The 16850-nt window shown below is 39.3% G+C and overlaps 1 protein-coding gene across 7 annotated transcripts in view, besides 1 other annotated feature; it reads left to right on the top strand.

Annotated features, from left to right (window-relative positions):
* The window catches only part of MYOM1 (myomesin 1), a 180570-nt gene that overhangs the window by 93735 nt on the left and 69985 nt on the right, over positions 1-16850 (top strand). For all 7 annotated transcript variants that reach the window (XR_935071.3, XM_047437910.1, XM_047437911.1 and 4 more), the window contains 3 exons: positions 1749-1948; positions 4441-4497; positions 11579-11703. Coding sequence is in view for 6 of the 7 variants with exons in the window: in XM_047437910.1 (XP_047293866.1) it covers positions 1749-1948; positions 4441-4497; positions 11579-11703 (382 nt within the window). In the remaining variant the exon portion in view is untranslated. The remainder of the gene's footprint in view (positions 1-1748; positions 1949-4440; positions 4498-11578; positions 11704-16850) is intronic.
* Positions 409-498: an enhancer, noted in NCBI's record as "active region_13037". NCBI's record gives its function as "activates an Ori minimal core promoter by ATAC-STARR-seq in GM12878 lymphoblastoid cells {active_cell/tissue: GM12878}" and the evidence as "EXISTENCE:reporter gene assay evidence [ECO:0000049][PMID:35858748]".

Here is a 16850-nt window from a genome sequence, read left to right as displayed (position 1 = left end):
CACAACATTTCATCATTTAGTAGTGATGAATTGTGAAGGTTTAGATATATTCTTTTTTGTGCTTTATTGTCTTTGGCACATTTCCAGGGGATTTTTAAACTTTGACCAGTGAAAGGCCAGGGACAATAAGTACATTTTGTTCTCCTCTGGCCTTAGTCATAGTGAAAATACCCACCTTGTGGCTATTATTTATTAAGCATTTACTGTGTGCATGGCACTGTTCTAAACACTTCGCATATATTAACCACTAACCCATAACCGCCCTTTAAGGTCGTTGCTATTATTTCAAGTAGGAAATGAGGCCCGAGACCACATATCAGTGAGGAAGCACTAACTCACCTAAGATCACGCGGGTAATAAGTAGCAGAACTAGAATTCAGATGTGAGCCTGGCTGTAGGTTTGTGTTCTTTCTGCTCCAACGTGCTGCGGAAAGTGTCAGGAGCAGTGAGTTCCACCTTTCTTTCTGCCCACATGAGGTTAGGAAGGATGCTCTAGTGTCACTGGGTCACCATAGCAGTATCTGCACAGAGAAGAGGCTGAGTCCTGGCAGAATCTCTGGAGACAGGTGTAGATTGAAGAATTGTCCTGGCCCTATCAGCTTCTGCCACAGCCCCACCTCCCCAAACCCCTAGCAGCTCCAGAATTTCTACCAAGGAGGATTAGGGGAAATGATGGAAGGCAGGGATTGAAGCCACATTTGACAGCACTTTACATAAGGAAAGTGAGGAAGTTGTCTATTCCACTTTACATAAGGAAATTGTCTATTGTCCATATCAAAGAGAGGAAGGTGATTGTGAGGAGGGGAGATACACCCCCCACACCAGCCACCTCTGTCCTGCCACTGGCAACCCCCACGCCCCTGAGAATCATTTGGGAATTACACATTTTGGACATAGAGCCCATGTTGGGGAAATGATATGAGCTAAAAGTACAGCACTCTGCTCATAAAAAAAGTAAGAGCTGCTTAATCCTAATCTGTAAAATTTAATCACATGTTGAACCCCTAAAGCTTTGTTGATCAGGCCAACAGCATGATATGAGCTGTCATATTTGTCTGCTGGGAATGACCCACTCCATCCCCAGGTACCAACTGCTGTAAAAGCACTCAATTAGAAATCAGTGTTTCCAAGTACCCACTCAATCTGCCCCTGCCAGGACTGGGCATCTCCCCACCTGTCATCAGTCTCTTCTGTTAAAGAAACAAACATCTTCACAATAACCTTCTTACCCTCTACACAGGATGGAATGACCATGAAGTGAGGAAATATGGTGAACTCTTTTCCAAACTACAGTGCAAATAGTTAGGTTTTAAGACGCCAATTTTCTCAATAATACCTCTGTTTTTCAAAGAAAATACCTAAAGAAGACAAAGAAGTCACTAATGGTAGAATTGAAGGCATCAGCCGGGGAGATGTTTGGGGATCTTCTCCAATGCTAAGATTGGAGATATTTATCTGCTTATCCCAGCAACCCCCAAACCCCTCTGCTTTCTACACAAGGCCCCTCAGATGCCTGCTTTTTACGAGTTCAGGAAGGACCTGAGGCTTCTTTCCTCTTGGTAAAGAAGACACAGTGCATTTGAGTGAAACGGAGTGCCTGCATGCAGTTCACCAGGTAGCGAGCCACGCCTGACTTGGATATTTTATAGGGAGAAGATCTGAAACAACTGGGTGATTCTGCAGCTCTGGAGATATTCATTAAGCCATACTTCTTTTAATATTTTTGTCAATCACGCTCATTCCTTTAGGTGTGAGGTGGGCACAGATAGCTGGTCGCAGTGCAATGACACACCTGTGAAGTTTGCTCGTTTTCCTGTCACTGGATTGATCGAAGGTCGTTCCTATATCTTCCGAGTTCGAGCTGTGAATAAAATGGGAATAGGTTTCCCATCTCGAGTTTCCGAGCCCGTGGCTGCTCTGGATCCGGCTGAGAAAGCTAGACTTAAAAGTAAGCACTTTTCATTTTTCAGGACCTTCCCTAAACCTTTTTAAAATGACTGCAAGAATCAGCTTCATTGCAAGGTTGTTTCTCTCCCTTCCACTAGAGGGAGACAAGAACAAGAAATCCTTTTTTCATCAGAAAATCCGAGGGGGAGAATCCTTCGCAAACATTGCCTTAGCCATTCTCTTAAGGGTTTTATTTTATTTTATTTTATTTTATTTTATTTATTTTATTTTATTTTATTATTTTATATTTTATTTTATTTTATTCAGAAACATTTATGTTGTTAAACTGAGTTCCAGGCATTGTGTGTGGAATGAAGTATAAAAGCAAAGAGGCTGGAGAGCATTTTTATTCCTGTTATTATACATTCCAAAAATAATAAAAATAATTTTCTTTCTGGCTCAAGGTCTATTTCTTTACCTTGGAGTCCACCCTTAGAGCATTAATATCTCAGCACAGTGCGTCTCTCTATATCAAAGGAAAAACAGATAGACAACGTTATATCTAATCTATGTCTGAGTTCTCATATTAGACTGTCAAAAATCATTTTTTCAGGCCTGGCGTGGTGGCTCACACCTGTAATCCCAGCACTTGGAGAGGCTAAGGTGGGAGGATGGCTTGAGCCTAGGAGTTCTGAGACCAACCTGGGCAACATAGAGAGACCCCATCTTTTAAAAAAAAAAAATGAAAAAAATGAAAAAAAAAAAAAAAAAAAAAGCCAGGCATGGTAGCACACAGCTGTAAGTCCCAGCTACTCAGGAGGCTGAGGTGGGAGGATCGCTAGAGCCCAGGAGGTCAAGGCTGCAGTGAGCTGTGATTACACCATTGCACTCTAGCCTGGGCAACAGAGCAAGACCCTGTCTCAATAATAACAATAATAATAATCTTTTAATATATGTAGTCTCCAAGTCTTAATGTCAAAACCATGGTACATGAATCATGCCCTGTAATCATGCCTTGTATTTGTTTCATGGAAACCCATATGGCATCTCCAACAATAGGGAACGTAAAATGACATTATGAGAAGAGTTGGATAGTAACATTTCAGGCTTATGCCAGGCTTCTCAACCTTGGCCCTACTGGCACTTTAGGCCAGTAATTCTTTGTTGTTGTGGGAGGTGGCTAGGGGTGTTCTGTTCATTGCAGGAGGCTGAGCAACATCCCTTGTCTCTACCCACTAGATGCCAGCAGTGTCATGGAGACACTACCAAATGTCACCTAAAGGGCAAAACCACCTTTGTAGAGGACTGCTGGTCTGTGCTACATTCACAATGTTATTCTTTACCTTCAGTACGTGTAGTGGCATCGTAAAAGTCTAAATAAAATAATGTCACTGGCTGGGCATGGTGGCTCACACCTGTAATCCCAGCACTCTGGGAGGTCGAGGCGGGTGGATCACCTGAGGTCAGGAGTTCGTGACCAGCCGGGCCAACATGGCGAAACCCCGTCTCTACTAAAAATTACAAAAAATTAGCCAGGCGTGGTGGCGGGCGCCTGTAATCCCAGCTACTCGGGAGGCTGAGGCAGGAGAATCATTTGAACCCGGGAGGCGGAGGTTGCAGTGAGCTGAGATCGCGCCACTGCACTCCAGCCTAGGCGACAGAGCGAGACTCCATCTGAAAATAATAATAATAATAATGTTACCATTTCCCCGGCAACCGTGTCTCATCAGGCTCCTTGATTGCTCTTCAGTCACTCTTCACCAACCCTCCAACTTCCTGCCCTCCTTTCTAAACTTGCAAATTCCATCTCATACTTTCGTTTGCTCCTCTTTTATCAATTCCAATCAAAATAAGATTTGTTTGAACTAAAAATAAGTTACCTTCTTTACTGCCTTTCTGTTTTTCACAAACCCTGACAAAAAGTCCCCTGGTTAATGCAAGAGTAGAACTACTCTGTCTTTCTGATGTTTATGGGATCATACAAGTGAATTTCCTCTTTAACTTTGTACCCGTATCATTCATTTTCCTTGCTCAGGATCTCAACTGATTTCCTTTGGAGATAATATTTTTCAAAATATAATGGGAAAAATTTGCTTTGCTGAGCTTTACCGCAGGATCGGCACCCCCTCTCCTCTTTCATCTTATTATGACAATAAATAACTACTGGGCTTACAATTGTTCTGGAAATGTTTCTCCCAAACGCATGCTATCCTTCAGAGGGGATGAGCAAGCCTACCTGTTCCAGGAGATTCATATTGAACAGTTACATGAACACAGGTTACTTACCTAGCTTGTGCAAGTACAGTTCCAGAAACATCTACTCAGCCAGTCCAGGCAGATTCTAGGCTCCAGCAGATTATGAGTCCCTTGAGGACCGGGGCTGTGCTTCCCACAGTGCCCTCTACATGATTGATACCATTCATGGGAAAACACATAAGTCTATTAGTAACAAACCCAGTTGTGACTAATCTGGCCACTTTCCCAATTCATCAGTGCAGCTGATAAATTGCACACTTGTAAACGTTTGTGATTCTTATATTTGTCTTTATTCAGGTCGCCCCTCAGCACCCTGGACTGGACAGATCATTGTTACTGAAGAGGAACCTTCAGGTAAGAAGTCTGGTTGCCCCAGATACTATTGCTGATGTTTTGCTAAGCAGTTTGCCTTTTGTTGTGGAGGGTGCAGTGTGTATTGCTTAAGATGTTTTGGTAAGAACATTCTAAAATATCTGGAGATTGTAAATAACTTATGTCAGAGAATCCCATTTTATTTTTAAAGCTTTCTTGAGGTGTAATTGTCATACGGTATACTGCAAATATGTAACATGTACAATTTGATAAATTTTACACATGTATATACCCATGAAACCATCACCATTTTCTTTTTTTTTTTTTTTTTTTTTTTTTTTTGGATGGAGTCTCGCTCTGTCGCCCAGGGTGGAGTGCAATGGTGCGATCTCGGCTCACTACAAGCTCCGCCTCCCGGGTTCACGCCATTCTCCTGCCTCAGCCTCCCGAGCAGCTGGGACTACAGGCGCCCGCCACTACGCCTGGCTAATTTTTGTATTTTTAGTAGAGACGGGATTTCACCGTGTTAGCCAGGATGGTCTCGATCTCCTGACCTCGTGATCCGCCCGTCTCGGCCTCCCAAAGTGCTGGGATGACAGACGTGAGCCACCGCGCCCGGCCACCATCACCATTTTCAAAATAATGAACGTATTTGTCACCCCTAAATTTCCCCTGCCCATTCGTAATTCCTCCTTTTCATGTTTCCCCATCTCCAGCCATCACTGATCTGCTTTCTGCCACTGTAGTTTACATTGTCCACAATTGTAGATCAGTTGAATCATGTTCATTTTTGTCTGTTTTTCTTTACTCAGCATAATTATTTTGAGACTTATCTACGTTGGTGTGTGTATCAATTCGTTCCAAAGTATTTATCCATTCACTGTTGAAAGCTTCTATGAACATTCTTAACTGTTTCTGTGGACATATGCTTTCATTTATGTCTTGTGTAAATACCTAGGAGTTGAATGGATGTGTTCTGTGGTAGGTGTATGCTTAATTTTTAAAGGAACTGCCAGCTGTTTTCTGAAATGATTGTACCACGTTCCCTTCCCCTCCAGCCCTACGTGAGAGTTCCACTTGCTCCCGCATTGTCACTAGCACTTAGTGTGGCCAGTCTTTTCAATTTTAGCCATTCTAGTGGGTTCATAGTGGTATTTCTTTGTGGCTTTGATTTGCATTTTACTCATAATGTCGAGCATCTTTTCATGTGTTTATTTGCCAGTTTTTGTGACATTGGGCATCTTTGTCAAATCCAGGTATTTTTCCTGTTTTTTTCCCCCTGGAAATGTTATAGCATTAGTTTTTACTTTTCACTCTGTGATGCATTTAAAATTAATTTTTTCTACATTACAAGAAGTAAGGGCCTCAATTATTACTATCGTTCATACTTGCATATGGCTATTAAATTATTTCAGCAATATCTATTGAAAAGATTGTTCTTTACCCAACGAATTTGTATTGGCACCATTGTCAAATTCAATTGATTACATATGTGTGGATCAATTTCTGGAATCTCTATTGGTCAATTTTTTTCCCCTTCCATCAATACCATACTGTCTTTATTACTATAGCTTTTCTGAGCTTCATTTTTTCATATATAAATTTTAGCATCTTCAAATCAGTATAAGTCTTCTAATCTTGTGTTGGGTTTTTCCCCCCCAAAGTTGTTTCAGCTATTCTGTCTTTACATTTCTATAAAAATTTTAAAATCAGCTTATCAACTTCTACAAAAAACATGCTGGGATTTCAGCCGAACAGCATTGAGTCCTTTGATTTATGAACATAGCCTGTATCTCCATTCATTTAGCTTTGTTTTCATTTCTCTCACCTTAGTAGTAGTTTTAGTGAGCAGGTCCTGCACATTTTTATAGATATAATCTCATACATTCGTTTGCTCCTCTTTTATCAATTCCAATCAAAATAAGATTTGTTTGAATTGAAAATAAGTTACCTTCTTTACTGCCTTTCTGTTTTTGCACAAACTCTGACAAAAAGTTAGAGTATCTGACTTTTTATATATATATATTTCTATATAATATATATATTTATCTATAATATATAATATTTATATATAAATATATATATTTATCTATAATGTATAATATTTATATATAAGATATATATTTATATATAATATATAATATTTATATATAATATTTCTGATGATGCTGTAAATGGTATTGTTTTTTATTTTAATTTGTTTTTATGCTAGTATAAAGAAACACAATTGATTTTTGTATATTGATTTTGTGTCCTGCATCCTTGCTGAACTAATTTATTAATTCTCACAAACATTAGGGTTTTTTATGAAATTTATTATGGATTTTCTATTACAGGATTATGCCATCTATAAGTAAAGATAAATTAACTTCTTCCTTTTCAATCTGGATACCTTTTATTTCTTTTTCTTTCCTTATTGCTCCATCTAGAACCTTTAGTACAATGTTGAATAGAAGTGGTAGACTGGTCATCTTTGCCTTTTCCTGATGTCAGGGGGAAAGCATTCAGTCTTTCACCATTAAGTCTAACATTAAGTGTAGGTTTTGTATAGCTATCCTTTATCAAGTTGAGGAAAATTTCTTCTACTCCTGGTTTTCTGAGAGTTTATATTAGGAAAAAGTGTTGGATTTTGTCAAATGCTTTTCCTGTATCTATTGAGACGATCGTATGATTTTTATTTTTCCATTAACATGTTGAATTACATTGATTAATTTTAGATTATTAAACCGAAATAAAATAAATAACGCAAACTAAACCTCACAGTCCTGGGTTGAATGTCACTATGTTATGCTGTGTTATCCTTTTTATACATTGCTGGAGTTTATTTGCTAAAAATTTTTAAAGGAATTTTTGTGTCTATATTCATAAAAGATATTGGTCTGTGGTTTTTCCCAGTAAAGTCTTGGTTTGGTTTTGGTATTGGGGTACTGAGTGGAAAGTATTACCATTATTTTAATTTTTTGAAAGAGCTTGTGTTAACTTTTATTATTTTTTTTAATTAAACATTCAGTATAATTTACCAGCAGAGCCATCTAGGCCTGGAGGTTTGTTTTTTGGTTTGTTTGTTTTGTTTTGTTGTGGGAAGCTTTTATACTGCAAATTCAATTTTTAAAATAAATTTAGGACTATTCAGGTTATTTACTTTTTCTTGAGTAAAATTTAATAGTTTTCATCTTTCAAGAAACTTTTTCATTCATAAAGTTGTTCATATTTTCTTATTATCCTTTTAATACCTGCAGAATCTGTAGTGGTGTCACCTCTCTCATTCCTAATATTCGTGTTTTACTTCCTTTGTCCTGACCTGACTAGAAGTTTATCAACTTTATTGATGTTCCCAAAGAAACAGCTTTTGGTTTCATTGATTTTCTATATTTTTCTTCTGTTTCCAGTTTTATTTATTTCTGTTCTTATCTTTATTATTTCCTTTTTTCTGCTTATTTGAGTTTAATTTGCTGGGTTTTTTTCTTGTTTCTTAAGGTAGAAGCTGAGGTCCTTAATTTGAAGTATTCTTTTATAACGCATGCATTTAGTGCTAAATATTTTTTTCTAAGTACTCCTTTAGCTGTATTTCACACATTTTGATCTGTTGTGTTTTCATTTTTATTTTGTGCAAAATACTTTCCAATTTTTTGATACCTTCTTTGATACATGGATTATTTGGAGTATGTTATTTAGTTACTAAATATTTGCAGATTTCCCAAGTATATTTCTCTTATTTGTTTTTAATTTAATTCTATTATGAAAATTAAATAGAACATATTTTGTGTTATTTGAATCCTTGTAGATTTTCTTGAACTTGTTTTATGGTCCAGAAAAAGATCTATCTTGGTGAATATTTAGTGTGCGCTTGAAAAGCATTGTATTTTTTTTTTTTTTTGAGATGGAGTCTCACTCTGTTTCCCAGGCTGGAGTGCAGCAGCTCAATGTTGGCTCACTGCAACCTCCGTCTCCCAGGTTCAAGTGATTCTCCTGCTTCAGCCCCCATGAGTAGCTGGGATTATAGGCACATACCACCATGCCAGGCTAATTTTTGTATTTTTAGTAGAGATGGGGTTTCACCATGTTGGCCAGGCTGGTCTCGAACTCCTGACCTCAGGTTACCTGCCTGCCTCAGCCTCCCAAAGTGCTGGGATTACAGGCGTTAGCCACACACCCAGCCAAAAAGCATAGTATTCTGCTATTGTTGAGTTTTATAAATATTAATTAGGTCAAGTTAGTTGATAGCATTGCTCAAGTCTTTTAGATCCATAATTATTTACTATTGCTAATATCTACATGTTCTATCAATTATTGAGAGAGTAGTGATGAAATAGCCAACCAAATGGTGCATTTATCTATTTCTTCTTGCAGTTCTACCAGTTTCTTCATGTATTTTGGGATGTTATTAGATGTATTAACATTTTTATTATTATATCCTCTTATGAATTGACCACTTTATTGTTATAACATGACTTCTTTTACCCATGGTAATGTTTTTTTGCTTGGAAATCTACTTTTAATATAGCTATTCCAGCTTTCTTTTGATTAGTGTTAGCATGGTATATTATTTCCATCCTTTTACACTTAGCCTATGTGTGCCTTTATATTAATACAATGTGTTTCTCATAGGCAGCATATATTTGGGTCTTGCTTTTTAAAAATCTAAATTGGTAATCTTTGCCTTTTAATTGGGGTGTTTTAACCATTTACATTTCATCTGATCGTTGATATGGTTGGATTTAAATCAATCATCTTGCTATTTGGTTTCCATCTATTCCATTTATTTGTTTCATTTTTTCTCTTTTTCTACTTTTTTTGGATTGAGTATTTTTTATTATTCCATTTTATCTGTATTCTCTTGTTGGCTATGATTTTTTATTTTGCTTTTTAGTAGTTTAGAATTTATAATATACATCTTTTCACAGTCTACCTTCCAGTAATATTATATTACTTCACATGTAGTGTAAGAATTTACAACAGTGCCTTTTTTTGTTTGTTTTTTGAGATGGAGTCTTGCTCTGTCGCCCAGTCTGGAGTGTAGTGCTGCAGTCTCGGCTCACTGCAAGCTCCGCCTCCCAGGTTCATGCCATTCTCCTGCCTCAGGCTCCTGAGTAGCTGGGACTACAGATGCCCGCCACAATGCCCGGCTAATTTTTTGTATTTTTAGTAGAGATGGGGTTTCACTGTGTTAGTCAGGATGGTCTTGATCTCCTGACCTTGTGATCCACCCTCCTCGGCCTCCCAAAGTGCTGGGATTACAGGTGTGAGCCACCGTGCCTGGCCTTTTTTTTTTTTTTTTTTTTTTTTGAGACAGGGTCTCACTCTGTTGCCCAAGCTGGAGTGCAGTGGCATGATCATGGCTCACTGCAGCCTCGACCTCTTGGGCTCAAGCAATTCTCTCACCTCAGCCTCCCAAGTAGCTGGGGCTATAGGTACACACCACCATACCTGGCTAATTTTTGTATTTTTTGTAGAGATGGGTTTTCACCATGTTGCCCAGGCTCATCTCAAACTCCTGAGCTCAAGCGATTCACCTGCCTTGGCCTCTCAAAGTGTCTGGATTACAGGCATGAGCCATCGTGCCTGTCCTGCAACAGTATTATTCCATTTCCCACTCTTAGCCTTGGTGCTGTTATTGTCATACATTTTATTTGCATATTTATGGTAAACTACACAATACGATATTATTATTTTGACTGTGGTCAATTATCTTTCAGAGATACAAAATGTAAGAAAAAGGCTTTATTGACTCACATTTTTATCATTTCCATTGCTTTTCATTTATTTGTTTAAATCCAGATTTCCATCTGATATGATTTTCTTTTCACCTGAAGCACTTCCTTGAACATTTCTCGTAGTGCAGGTATTTTATCTTTTGTTATGTAAAAAAAATCCTCTATTTTACCTTCATTCTTGAAATATATCTTCACTGAGTATAGAATTCTAGGTTGACAGTTTTTTCTCTCAGTACTTTAAGAGCTTTGTCCAGCATAGTGCAGATCTACACTACAAGAATGATTGCTTTTATTCTTATTTTTGTTCCTCAATATATAATGTGTCTTCTCTATCTGCTTTTAATATATTCTCTTTATCACTGTTTTTTCAGCATTTGATTATGATATGCATTGTGTAGCTTTCTTCATATATCTTGTGCTTATAGGGTTTGCAAGTTTCTCTAATCTGTGAGTTCGTAGTTTTCATCAGATTTGGAAATTTTTCATCATTATTTCTTTAAATATTTCTTCTGTACCCCATTATTTTTCTTGACCTCTGGAGTCTATGTATTTCCAGTCTCCTCCCTCCCTGCCTGATAAGACCAACTTTACTGTAACTGTAAACTAAAACTGTCCTAAACTTTACTAAAACTATAAACTCAACTCCACTGGGACCTTGGCTCCTGCCTATCTGCTTATAGGATTCTGTGCCCTGCTTATTTTCATATCTGAGCCAGGGTAAATCCTGCTTGTGGAGGGTTCATGTGGCTCTAAACTCTAGATGCTCTGGGACTTCTGGGATCTGGGTGCTTCTGGAAGTTTGTCCTTGCTTTCACCCGAACACTCCTGACCTGGCCTCAGAACTATTTAAAGATAAGAAGAGTATCCTAGATTCTTAGCTCTATATTCTAAATGAGCAATGGGGCTGGCTGCAGTGGCTCACACCTGTAATCCCAGCAATTTGGGAGGCCAAGGCAGGAGGATCACTTCAGCTCAGGAGTTCAAGACCAGCCTGGGCAACATAGGGAGTCCTCAACTCTACAAAAAAAAATATTTTTTTTTGAATTATGTAGGTGTGGTGGTGTGCACCTGTGGTCCCAGCTGTTTGGAAGGCTGAGGTGGGAGGATCACTTGGGCCCAGAAGGTCAGGGCTGCAGTGAGCCATAATTGCACCACTGCATGCCAGCGTGGGTGATAGAGTGAAACCCTTCCCCCCCTCCAAAAAAAACCAAAACAACAGCAACTGCTCAATGGCATTTGAAGAATGAATGAATGAATGATGTTTTGGGGGAATTTTAGAGAGAAGGTACTTCTTTAAACTGTGGAGACATAATTAACTCTTCCTCAGGAGGAGAGCAGCGTCTTTGGCTCTCTGAGTATCCTGGGCTACCCAGAATGTGTGCTTCTCATTTTTCCTTGTTGTTTTTCAGAGGGTATTGTGCCTGGCCCCCCGACAGACCTCTCTGTCACTGAGGCCACCCGGAGCTATGTGGTGCTCAGCTGGAAGCCCCCTGGCCAGCGTGGTCATGAGGGCATTATGTACTTTGTGGAAAAGGTAAGACTCTAGAATCAACATGACCTCATACTACCTCCTAAGGATTTCTTTAGAAAAGTGGAGGCTAAATTCCCAGGGACAATGGAGTGAGGGAGGAGGAGGGAGCATGTCCTGATCTCACTAGATTGTTATCAACTGTGAACTGTCTCCATAGAACAAAGTATATCACACAGAACTGTGCCTGAAAATCAAGGGGTTTATGGATCCCCAAGACTCACCCATAGACTCCTAAGAGATCCAGACCCAACATCATAGCACCTACAAGAAGAGAAATGTTCCTGAAATGGTAGATTGCCTGTATGACAATGTTTTCTAGAGACCTTCCTGTCTCCCTTGCTTTGGTAATGGCTTTTCATCTCTCTACCACTCCTCCTTCTGTAGTAGGACATGAACATCGTGAGGCTAGAAGGGAGGGGGTAACGGAGAAGGGGCAATACTCTCAAATGGCCGGGAGTGTGGAAGACAGCAACCTCATGCCACTGCACTTGGCTAGCTCCACTCTGAGTACAGGTAGCGGAATGAGGTCAGGGATCACAAAACAATAAATATTGGCAAGTTCTTTCCCAGATATCTTACAATTATGTCAGGAATTAGAACATTAGAGAGGACAGCATGCAATGAAGGCCCAGAATGGGTGGAATGAAGGAGAACGGTATGTGAATCAAACACATATCCGTATTTGAGGGTAGTTCTGATAAGGATTTATGCCCAACAAATGGAGAAGAGCCAAGACCTGTACAGAACATTATTTCGGCAGAACTGACTCAGCCACAAGTGTAGAAATAGGAGAGCCGGCCACGCAAGGCACAGGTCTTAGTGGGGGTAAGAAGTCCTTGGCTAACAGGATCATTGCTACTGGAAAACGACATTTAAAGAGAATTTGCTTAAAATGAGGTTCAAAATCCATTTGTTAAAAAGGTTCTGATTAGGATATAATTGAGAAAATGAAAGAAAATAAGTTTATTTTATCCCATATGTAAGAACATTTATTGGTAGTGATGCACCATTTTTTAGAACAATAAATGAAACAAGTGTTTGTACTTTTAAATTTTATTTTTATAAAATTGTGTGATAGCATGAAAAGGTATCATTTACTTTACATTTTAGTTTCATAGCAAAATCGTAGAATTTTTTTTTATAAAAATATGGTGTTCAGTTAATTTTCCTAAAGGTCTTTCTCTTTTATCCTTAATACTGTTTTGATCATTCAATTTTGTAACACCTATTAGGTCACCTTCCCTGATAATTATTGCAAGAGAATACATTTCATAGGTATGTAGGTGTATGCAAACTTCTGAAAATTAGGTAACAACATAAAGACAATATGCAAATATCTTTGAGCTGCATTCTTTACTTCCTTTTTATTCCTAGCAAATCAGTAACAATGAATGCCTTATCTCCTCTACATGCAATATGGATATCTTCCAAGAGAGTCTTGTTTTACAAAGACAATATTTAATTTTTATATGCTTTCCAGATATCAGCTTCAAATATAATATAACTTGAGTAGCATTCTAAGCCTTTTTTTTTTTTTGAGACAGCCTCACTCTGTTGCCCAGGCTGGAGTGCAATGGCACAATCTCAGCTCACTGCAACCTCCGCCTCCCTGGTTTAAGCAATTCTCCTGCCTCAGCCTCCCTAGTAGCTGGGATTACAGGCGTGAGCCACCACGCCTGGCTAAATTTTGTATTTTTAGTAGAGACAGGGTTTCACCATGTTAGCCAGGGTGATCTCGAACTCCTGACCTCAAGTAATCCTCCTGCCTCAGCCTCCCAAAGTGCTGGGATTACAGGCATGACCCACCACGCCCGGCTGCATTCTAAGCTTTTTAAAAGAAAATAGATGGCAAAAATAGAGTGGTGGATCAATGTTCATTTCCTAGTGTGTTTAATACACACCCCCACTGAATCTCTTTGAAACACTCCACAGGAAGAAGGTTCTGAATAACCTCTGTGACAGTAGTTACCATCTTTCCTATAATAAGGGCACATAACAACTATTTGGAGGCGTTTTCTGCAGATGAGTCAACTTTGGCTTCTGTTGAACTTTTCCTCTGGTCATATAAACTCTAATTTCTCTGTGGAAGTCTATAACTTCCCTCGACCTAAATACCTGTGAGTTTGTAATTAAAAATTTAAATATTCTTCCCCCAGCACACCTATTGGCATGGAACAGAAGGGGACGTTTATGAACACAGTACTATGTAGGGAGGCCTGCACAGGGCATAGAACACCCAGGATGTTGGGTATTGAGGACACAGAGCACGTCCAGGGACCTGGGGTACATTTGCAGAACCATCCAAATGTCAAACTGTTCTGAGCTGAGGCTAAAATTATTTCTGATGTAGCTGTTCTGATATGCTAACCTTTCTAAAGGGAAAAGGTCTGTGTGCTCCTGTCCCTGCTGCGTCTGTTCCAGGATGCCCTGCACCCAGCATGCTGCCTCTTGGGCCACCGCTGTGCTTGTTCTTCTTCACGGCATGTCCTTGATCCCTGGAATGGGTGAAATTGAAGGGTTTATAGCAAGGGACTCAGATAAATCAGTCCTTGGCACTTCCAGCCTCCCCATCCTACTGTGTTCTTTTTACACCCAAACTTTTTCCTCAGGTGTCTTACGTCTTGAGCTCTTTTTCTCACTCCCCTATCAAAAATCTGGTCGTGTCAGAGACAAGGACTGTATCACTCGTTAACAGCAGGAACGAACATAGCCAAGATTTGCACTGTTCTAAGCACCTTACATGAGTTAACCCACTTAATTCTTAGAGTAGTCCTATGAGGTAAATATCTTTGTTTTCATCATGCCTGTATATTTTTAAGTGTTTTGTAGAGATGGGGTCTCCCTATGTTGCCCAGGCTGATCTCGAACTCCTGGGCTCAAGCTATCCTCCCCTGTTAGCCTCCTAAAGTGCTGGGATTATAGTTGTGAGCCACTGTGCCTGGCAGATCATGCCTATTTTGTAGATGAGGAAACTGAGGCATAGAAAGGTATATAATTTGCCCGAGGTCACAGAGCTGGTAAAACACAGAACTGAGATTTGAACCCCAGCAGTCTGGTTCAGGTGCGTAAATCCAACTATTACACTGGGCCACCTTTCAATCTTCCCAGGCTTGTCTTCTCCTCTGGAAAACGTTGACAATCATACAATACTACCTCCACAATACCTACTCCATGGCATAGTTGAGAGGAGTAAAGAGTAATAATGGCTTATAAAGTTTTCGGCACAGTGAAAGGCAGCTATTTTTTTATGAGAGTATAAACAACTGATAACAGCTTAAGAATTTGCCAGGGTGGAATATGTTAAAAGAAATCAAAGCCATAAATGAAAAGATTAAAGGTCTGAGAGAGTTTCGTCCCTCAGGAGACAGCAGACACACAAAAGATAATGTTATCATAAAAAACACTGCAAGGAACTTTAGAGGTTACCTTGTCAAATTTGCTCGTTTCATAGAAGACGAAACCAAGGCCAAGAGCATGCGTGTGGCTTTCCAAGGTCACGTGGCTTGTTATTAACACAAAGGGACCAGATCCCATCCCTTTGTCTCCTCTATGCCATGCCATGTTGCCTGTCTGTCAAGTCAACGAAGATCATCCTGTGTGGTGGACTGATAAACTTAAAGTCCCAAAAATGTACCATCCTGACAGCTGGTCAACCTGTCACGAGATCTGGACTTCAGAAAAGTCTTTTGAAAACGTTACAAAATTCTGTAGTGAAATCAGGCAAGAGTTTCTAAATTTCTTCTCTTACCAACCATGGGCAAAGTTGGAAATTAAAATAGGAGGGAATAAGGATTACCAAAGACTTCTGACAGTTTTGTTACTGTATCTTCTACCAGAGCTCAAATATACACCACGTCCTTCATTCGAGGATTTCCAAGTCACTCTAAATCATTTTAATTTTAAGAATAGAGTCTCATTAAAAATTAATTTTCCCATTAATTATTCTAAGACTTGGGCAAAAAAAGAGAACATCTTTTTTTAATCTGGTTTTTATTGATACACAATCATTGCACATATTTACAGGGTACACTGAATATTTTGATACATCTTTGCAATGTGTAATGATCAAATCAGAGTAATTGGGGTACCCATCACCTCAAACATTTGTCATTTTTGTGGAGAAAATTCCAAATCTTATCTTTTAGGTATTTTGAAATATATAATAAATTACTGATAACTATAGTCACCCTACTGTGCTATTGAACACTAGAACTTATTTCTTCTAATTGTATTTTTGTGCCCACTAACAAACCTCTCTTCACCACCACCCCCAACCCTTCCCAGCCTCTGGTAACCACCATTCCACTCTCTACCTCCATGAGATCAAATTTTTTAGCTCCCATATATGAATGAGAACATGAGATATTTGTCTTTATGTGCCTGACTTATTTCACTTAGCGACCTCCAATTATATTCATATTGCTGCAAATGACAGTACTTCATTCTTTTTTGTGGCTGAATAACATTACATTGTGCATATTTACCACATTTTCTTTATCCATTCATCCACTGATGGGCACTTGGGTTGATTCCATATTTTGGCTTTTGTGAGTGCAGCAATAAACATGGGAGTACAGATATCTCCTTGACATACTGATTTTCTTTCTTTTGGATAGATACCCAGCAGTGGGATTGCTGGATCATATAGTAGAAAAACATCTTCATCTTTCAGTCATTTAGAAAAAAAACACTGGGCCGGGCATGGTGGCTCACGCCTGTAATCCCAGCACTTTGGGAGGCTGAGGTGGGCGGATCACGAGGTCAGGAGATCGAGACCATCCTGGCTAACACGGTGAAACCCCCCTCTACTAAAAATACAAAAAATTAGCCAGGTGTGGTGGGGGGCGCCTGTAGTCCCAGCTACTCGGGAGGCTGAGGCAGGAGAATGGCGTGAACCCAGGAGGCGGAGCTTGCAGTGAGCCGAGATTGTGCCACTGCACTCCAGCCTGGGCGACCCAGCGAGACTCCGTCTCAAAAAAAAAAAAAGAAAAAAGAAAGAAAAAAAATACTGTAGTTGATTATGTACTATTTGCCAGATGGAATTCTATGCTCTGTCATAAAGCAGTGAACAAAGCTCCTTGAGCTTATGTGATTTGCTCTTCAGTGGAGGAGACAACAAATAACTTAATTTCAAATAGTGATACATGATT

This window comes from Homo sapiens, chromosome 18, assembly GCF_000001405.40.
Source record: "Homo sapiens chromosome 18, GRCh38.p14 Primary Assembly".
Classification (NCBI taxonomy): Eukaryota; Metazoa; Chordata; class Mammalia; order Primates; family Hominidae; genus Homo; species Homo sapiens.
The sequence above is the reverse complement of the archived record's forward strand: the minus strand, read 5'-3'. Positions and strand labels throughout refer to the sequence as shown.